The sequence below is a fragment of the Homo sapiens genome, chromosome 5 (genome assembly GCF_000001405.40).
Source record: "Homo sapiens chromosome 5, GRCh38.p14 Primary Assembly".
Taxonomy (NCBI): domain Eukaryota; kingdom Metazoa; phylum Chordata; class Mammalia; order Primates; family Hominidae; genus Homo; species Homo sapiens.
The window spans coordinates 34,497,379-34,504,964 of NC_000005.10; the positions used below are offsets into that span (position 1 = coordinate 34,497,379).

Sequence of the window (7,586 nt, forward strand, 5' to 3'; positions counted from 1 at the left end):
TTGGAAAATTCTCTTCTGAGAGGGTCAGAACAACCCTGAGTCGTGACCAGGGCCAGAGCTCAAGCTACTCAGGGAAACCGCGGTCCCAAGGGTGGTGGGGTCAGCCAGCCAAACACCTAATCAGGGCTGCAGCTTTCCACATGGGTGGGAGCCTGTGCATCGGTCTCACAGGGTCTCAATTCCACTTCCTAGGTGGTCTGAGACCTAGCAGTTCTCCAAGAGGAGGCAATTACTGTAAGCGGGGAAGCAAGGAGAAGCGGGGAAGCAATGATTCTACTGATGGTCCACACCAGTCCCACACTTTGTCATGGAAGATTCAGTTCCAACAAACCCCACAGGCAGGAATTCAACTCCCAATGGAGCTAGAAACTTCTACTTCTTTTTTTTTTTTTTTTTGAAACAGAGTTTTGCTCTTGTTGCCCAGGCTGGAGTGCAATGGCGCGATCTCAGCTCACTGCAACCTCTGTCTCCCGGGTTCAAGTGATTCTCCTGCCTCAGCCTCCTGAGTAGCTGGGATTACAGGCATGTGCCACAATGTCCAGCTAATTTTTGAATTTTTAGTAGAGACAGAGTTTTGCCATGTTGGCCAGGCTGATTTCGAACTCCTGACCTCAGGTGATCCACCCACCTCGGCCTCTCAAAGTGCTGCGATTACAGGCATGAGCCACTGCACCCAGCCTTCTACTTCTTAAATAATATTTTCTGAAACCCTGAGATGTTGCAACGTTGTTCTACTCCCACTCCAATTTAGAACATCACTCAGTTATTTATTTCTTTATTCATTTATTTGGCAAATATTTAATACTCGCTGGATGTAAAACAACAGCAACAACAACAATAACATGGCCTGGCACTGTGCTAACCACTACAGTGAAAGAACAGATACAGTTCTCCTCTTTATAGATCACACAGTATCGTGGAGGAAACAGGTATTATTTCTTTTATTTATGTAATACTCGCATAATCTCTGCTATGCACAGAGCACTGCTCTAAGCACTTTACAAATATAAACAGTTAATCCCCTCCACAACCCTATGAAGTAGGTGATATTAATATCTCTATTTTTACAGATGAGGAAACTGAGGCACCAGACATTAAAATAACTTTCCCGGGATCACACAGCTGGGAAGCGCTTAAATCCAGGTAGTCTAGCTCCAGCACTCAGGCCCTCAAATGCTACAGTTAGGCTGCCTTTCAAGCAGATAAATGCTAATCAATAGACTATCCAGAAATGAAGACTGTGCTCGGCACTCTGAAAGAAAGCCAGGAAAGAGCAAGGGGATTTTTCACATTGGTTGAGAGTCAGGGTAGACTTCTCTGCAGAAGGAACAGAAAGGAGGAAGATTGCTCCAAGCAGGGAAAATTGCAAAAGTAAAGGCCCTTGAGTAAACAAATCTTAGTGAATTCAAGGACCTTCGAAAGAGGTTAGAGTCATCAGAGGGCAAAGGGCACATGAAGAGATGAGGTTGCAAGGGAAAAGGGTACGCAGTGTCAGGCCAGACTCAATTTTGTTTGGTGGTTCTCAAAGTAAAGTGGAAAAAAGGGCCGATCTTTAGGAAAACAGCCATAGGAAATAGAATGATCAAGTAGGGGAGCTTCATGTTTTCATTTTGAGAAGGGCCCCTGATATGATGTGGCTCTGCTTCCCCACCGAAATCTCATCTCAAATTGTAATCCCCATATGTTGACGGAGGGACCTGGTGGGAAGTGATTGGATCATGGGGGTGATTTTCCCCATGCTGGTCTCGTGATAGTGAGTGAGTTCTCACCAGAGCTGGTGGTTTTAAAGTGTGGTACTTCCTGTCTCTCCTGCTGCCTTGTGAAGAAAGTACTTGCTTCCCCTTTGCCTTCCACCATGATTGTAAGTTTTCTGAAACCTCCCCAGCCATGCAGAGCTATGAGTCAATTAACCCTCTTTTGTTTATAAATGACTCAGTCTCAGGCAGCTTTTTATAGCAGTGTGAGAATGGACTAATACAACCCCATAGCACATTTCACAAATGTCTAATCCTCACAACCACCCTGGAAGGAAACAGATCAGATAGATTTAACCCCTTTGCGATATCCCACCCACCTTCCTAATGCCTGTCCCCTCTCCTGTGTTTCTGCTGGTATAATCTCAGTTTTGTTCTGGGAAACCTATGTCTAGCCCCACACAAATACCCCTGTCCTAGCCTGCCCTGTAGCCAGGGGTGGCCTTGTACACTGCCTTGGCAGAAGAGACATCAGTGCAAATCTGCTGGGAGTCTGGGGAGCCCTTCGCTTTTCCTAATAGGCATAAACTTGGGTCCATGGGCTCATCACCACCTCCCCTTTCTTCCTATCTGGAGAAGGACAGGATGTCTACAGCTGTAAAAGCCATCATGCAACTGTGGTGGGACAAGTATAGGAGAAAGGCCAAGAGATGCTCTGAGAAGCTGACCCTGAACCAATGCCGGCAGCCACCCACAGCTAGACTTCTTGCTATGACTTCGTTTCAGCATTTTTAAGTTTTAGGGCTTGCATTCTCTACCTAAATGAAGCATCTGTTTTTATTTATTTATTTATTTTTTATTTTTCCAAGACAGAGTTTCACTCTTGTTTCCCAGGCTGGAGTGCAATGGCACGATCTTGGCTCACGGCAACCTCCACCTCCCAGGTTCAGGTGATTCTCCTGCCGCAGCCTCCTGAGTAGCTGAGATTACAGGAGTGCACCACCACGCCCGGCTAATTTTCACATTTTTAGTAGAGACGGGGTTTCACCATGTTGGTCAGGCTGGTCTCGAACTCCTGACTTCAGGTGATCCACCCGCCCCAGCCTCCCAAAGTGCTGGGATTACAGGCATGAGCCACCACGTCCAGCCAAAACACCTATTTCGCTACAAGCAAACTAAGGATGAGGAAATATCAGACTTGCAAAAACATCACAGAGCGGATTTAAGACCAGGTACACCTGACTCCACATCCAGCGCTCTATCTACTATATTACAAATAAATTCTTGTTTGCCTTAGGGATTTCTATGCATGTTCAAACTTTCCGGGCATTACACTCACCAATCCCGGAAACTGTGTTGCACAGAGCCCCTTCTGGACAGGCATGATTTGGGTCAGTGAACCCATCCTCCTCTGGTTACCAGAGCCAATAGGGTCAATGCACCGTCTAGCTGAAAGCCAGTGATATTGTCTGCTCCAAAAGATGTGCTGGCCAAATAAAAGTCTCTCTTGCAGGGATTTGAATTACGTCATTCTGGGAGATTAAGAAAGGAGACAATGGGACCCAAAGTAGGAAGGTAAGGACTGGTGAGAGCAGCTCACAAGATCTTGTGAGAGGCGAAGTTATGAGTAAGCAGAAAATTGAGCAAGCAGAAGTTATGACAGAAAACACCCAAAAGATGGGCTCAATGAAGCAGTGGGCCACGGGCGGGCAGGGGAGCAGTCCACCCCAGTGCAGGCATGACCCAGAGAGACTTTAAAAGCAATAATGAAACCCACACCAAATTGATCTGCTTTTATTAACACCAAGCACTGGCAAATCTAAACGATATCAGTAAAGCAACCTTTTGTTGGTCTAAGTTTCAAACTATTGTGGCAGTTAATGTTGAATTTTAATAATGTGTATGCAAGCTTTAAATAGCCTGCTCTTCATATCTTATATTTTAAGAAACACCGTATGCCACATGGAAGTTAATTCAGAGAACATCCAGTTAGCATTTAGTCCAAATACAGCTACACACAGACTCAGCTACACATATTTGTTTCAAGTGTAAGTCTTCAACAGCTTCGAACTGTTGAAACTCTCTTGGGATATAGCTCATTTCTCCAAAACCCTATGGTATGGCACATGTGTACATTTAAACAATAAACTCAAAATAGACTATGACAGTGCCAAGTTTGTAAAGAGGAAGAAACATACCTTGAGTTATTTCAGTTCTGTCATTGCACATGCCCAGTGGAGTTTTTAACTTAAGTCTAGAGCTGTGATGTGCAATCTTTTTCTTTAATAAGTGCAAAATTAAATTCATTCATGTTATGTTTTACTGAATTTGAATAATACCTGTACATTTAAATGCATTTTTTTTTTGAGACAGAGTTTCACTCTTGTTGCCCAGGCTGGAGTGCAATGGCACGATCTCAGCTCACTGCAACATCTGCCTCCCGGGTTCAAGTGATTCTCCTGCCTCAGCCTCCTGAGTAGCTGGGATTACCAGCATGTGCCCCCATACCCGGCTAATTTTGTATTTTTAGTAGAGACAGGGTTTCTCCATGTTGGTCAGTCTGGTCTCCAACTCCCGACCTCAGGTGATCCGCCCACCTCGGCCTCCCACAGTGCTGGGATTACAGGCGTGAGCCACCATGCCCGGCCAATGCATTCTTTCTAGGTTGTGAATTGGTTTAAAGCTAAGGATTAAATCAAGATCAAAGTAATTATTTCTGAATAGTATTGAAAATAAATTTTTTGCATAGAGTAGGGTGGTTGTATATTATCTGACCTGTGTGTCAAATGCCCCCAGTGTCCCGATTGCTGGAACTTTTCTGTTCACCCTCCAGTTTTGCTTTCCAGCCTTCTTCAACCTCCTGTCTGACCAAGGTGGTTGATCTCTGAGGACACACTACCGACAGCCTCAATTCTGTCTTCTCATTGGGTTTGGCCAGTGGAGAGCGGTCAGAGGAAGTCAGGAACTGGAAGAGGGGAGAAAGATGTTGGGTTAATTATTTCCACCATCTGCATGAACCATCTGCCTCCCCACTGAGACACCCAATTGGCAGTGCCTCTACAGAAGGCCATTGCTCCCTTAGGTGGCTTTCTCCCCTTTGGCTGTCTCCTCTCTGGTTCCCTGTAATTGTGTCCACTTCTTTTCATCTCAAGCTTAGACTGCCTATCAGTCAGGGTCCCAGAAAAACAGTGGCACTCTGAAATTAGGAGGATGTGAGGAGAGTCTAATAAAGAAACAAATTACAGAGATGGGAACTGGCTGTTGGGAACCCACAGAAAATGGTGCCGTGTGCTGGGACTAAAAGCAGCAAAACCGTGTTGCCACCCCGTGGTCTTAAGAGGAAGAAAGGAGGAGCTCCAAGGAAAAACACAGCAGACCCATCGCTGGGAATCAGGTCAGTGTGTGTCCCATCCTCACTCCCCTCCTTCTCTCCACCTCTTAGCCATGCTCACAGCCAGAAGCTAGAGTGCGAGGCAGCCTGTTGTGCATCACACAGACAACAGCTGGGGACACTGCGAAGGTGGGAAGGGTGGAGAGTAAATCCAAAGAGGGAAACGGAAGGAATCCAGCATGGGTGATTAGGGCTACCCACTGCCCCTAACCCAAGGACCGTCATGGTGCCAGTGACTGAGTTACTGCTTCTCACCTTCACACCCACTCAACTGTTCTCTGCTGTATAATGCTGGGGCTGGGCTTCTGCTTTGCCAACTGACTTCCTCTCGGCTTCTGCCAACATGGATTCTAGAAGAAAACTGGAAGCGTGGGAAGGAAGGAGAGATTTGCTCCTTCCCACTTGCTTTTTGTGGGTTTCCTGTTTGCCTCCAGGTCCCACCAGCCTCACCTTAGGCCCGCATCTTTCTCCAGCAGAGGCAGTTCATTCCAGTAGCAGCAGTTGAATCCGGTGTGCAGTTTTCCCAGCACGCACAGAACTAGCTTCATTGTGCCTTCTTGGAGACCCCAGCAGCAGCCAACCAACACCCACTCCTCAGCCAGTCACAGCCCCGTGGAGCCCCACTCCAAGCTTGGGGACAGCAGCAGCAGCTGAATGGCAGCCTCCTTCTCAGATGTCTGCATCTCTGCTCTATGGGAGCCCTCACAAGTTTCAATAATGTCATCCTCTTCTCTTTGTTTCCCCAGCCCCAGGAACGATAGGTTCTTTCTGCTGTGGCATTGCCGCAATTACTTGGTGTTCTCTTTGGGGCACAAAATGAAAGAATCCTGGGTCTCTGAATCGTGATACAGAGGAAAGCTACCCACCAACCCAGGACACATTTACCGAACTGTTATATGAGCAAGAAAGACATTTTGATTGTGTAAAATCACCAAAATATGGATCCTATTTTTTACAACAATGAACTGCACCTATTATGCCTGAAGAACATTTTAAAACATGTTTCTAGACTCCATCCAAAACCAGAATCTTCCAGCACTGTCTAGTAATCTATCATTTTAAAATGTTATTCTTCCTGGTTTGGAAACCACAGTCTAAATTGCCCTGAGCGTATACTTATTAACATTCACCAGGTAGCAACTACCCAAAGCATAGTTGTGGTACTTAGAAGGAATTCATCTATAGCTCAAGAATTAACTTCGTAGTTTTTAACTGCTCTTTTTTTTAGAAATGTCACAAAAAGACTGAGTTCAGAGAAGATCAGCATGAAGTGAGCTGTGGAAGTTTTGCTATTCCCAAAAGAAAAGGGCTTTCAGATATCCTGATTGTCTGCCAGCATTGACTGCCTCTGAAAAATCAGTGTCTTTGCCAACTATGTGACAGACACTGGGCAGATTTACAGGATGAGAGACAATTGCTGGGGCTCCTTTCTATTCTGTTAAAAAGCCCTGACCCAGAGAACTCAGGACTTTCTGGCGCAAAATGGTCTGATACAGATTTTGTTGCTGTCTCAGATTCACGCACTTGCTTTGGTTCGTATGGCTATTTTCAGGTGACAGCAGTAATTAAGGCATGTACTTGGTGATAGGCATCTTCTTGCATGGGTCACCCCACAGGGTTTGATTCCCAGGCCAACTGGCAAGATTTCTGAAAGCAAGTGACAGCTTGTAAGAGGGGTGAAGGAAAAGGCAGAGCTGGCCGGGTGGCTGTGTCCTATGACAAAGGATTACAGTTAATGGTGCTGAGGTCTGGCAAGCACCACGACCCTGCCTGGCTCCCAAGCTGCTCTGTCTAAATGATCATTGTTGATTATGTGTCTATACCTAGGCAAGAGAGTGGGACAGCATGACAGAAAGCAGCTTCTTGACAGGCTCCAGAAAATTTCCTTTATAAGGGCTTTACCTTTAATAGAGAACTCGAGAGGTCAAAAATGTTATATTAATACTTTGTCTTCAGACAGGCTGCCCATGTAAACAGTTCATGCTGCTAGACAAAACGAGTCTTAGGAAGCTTAAGGGCATGTTTCCACAGCAGCCTGGTATGCCTAAATTAGCAGTAATTATGTCTAAAGAGAGAAGCATAGTTTAAAAGAATTATGGCTATGACTTTTGGCACATGGAATGGAATGGAATCAAATCTTTTTTTGTTTTTTAGTTTCTTTCTTTCTTTCTTTCTTTCTTTCTTTCTTTCTTTCTTTCTTTCTTTCTTTCTTTCTTTCTTTCTTTCTTTCTTTTGAGACAGGGTCTTGCTGTGTTGTCCAGGCTGGTGTTGAACTGCTGGCATCAAACAATCTTACTGCCTCAGCCTCACAAAGTATGGATTGCAGGCATGAACTACCACACCCAGCCAATTTTGGAGTCAAATCTAAAAATCTTTGGGTATTTCAAAACCCACAAAGGTTTCTAGTTTATTGACAAAAGCACTTAGAGCCTGGCCTAAGACAGACAAGGATTATTTGAAATGTAAAACCACTCTTGAGACCCCAAGTAGGAAACAGGCAG

At 45.2% G+C, this 7,586-nt stretch overlaps 3 annotated features.

The window, feature by feature from the left end:
• Positions 1,781-1,930: an enhancer, noted in NCBI's record as "active region_22463". NCBI's record gives its function as "activates an Ori minimal core promoter by ATAC-STARR-seq in GM12878 lymphoblastoid cells {active_cell/tissue: GM12878}" and the evidence as "EXISTENCE:reporter gene assay evidence [ECO:0000049][PMID:35858748]".
• Positions 2,381-2,450: an enhancer, noted in NCBI's record as "active region_22464". NCBI's record gives its function as "activates an Ori minimal core promoter by ATAC-STARR-seq in GM12878 lymphoblastoid cells {active_cell/tissue: GM12878}" and the evidence as "EXISTENCE:reporter gene assay evidence [ECO:0000049][PMID:35858748]".
• Positions 4,627-5,826: an enhancer, noted in NCBI's record as "CDK7 strongly-dependent group 2 enhancer chr5:34502110-34503309 (GRCh37/hg19 assembly coordinates)". NCBI's record gives its function as "activates an origin of replication core promoter dependent on BRD2, BRD4, P300/CBP, MED14 and CDK7 cofactors, with strong dependence on CDK7, by STARR-seq in HCT116 cells {active_cell/tissue: HCT116}" and the evidence as "EXISTENCE:reporter gene assay evidence [ECO:0000049][PMID:35650434]".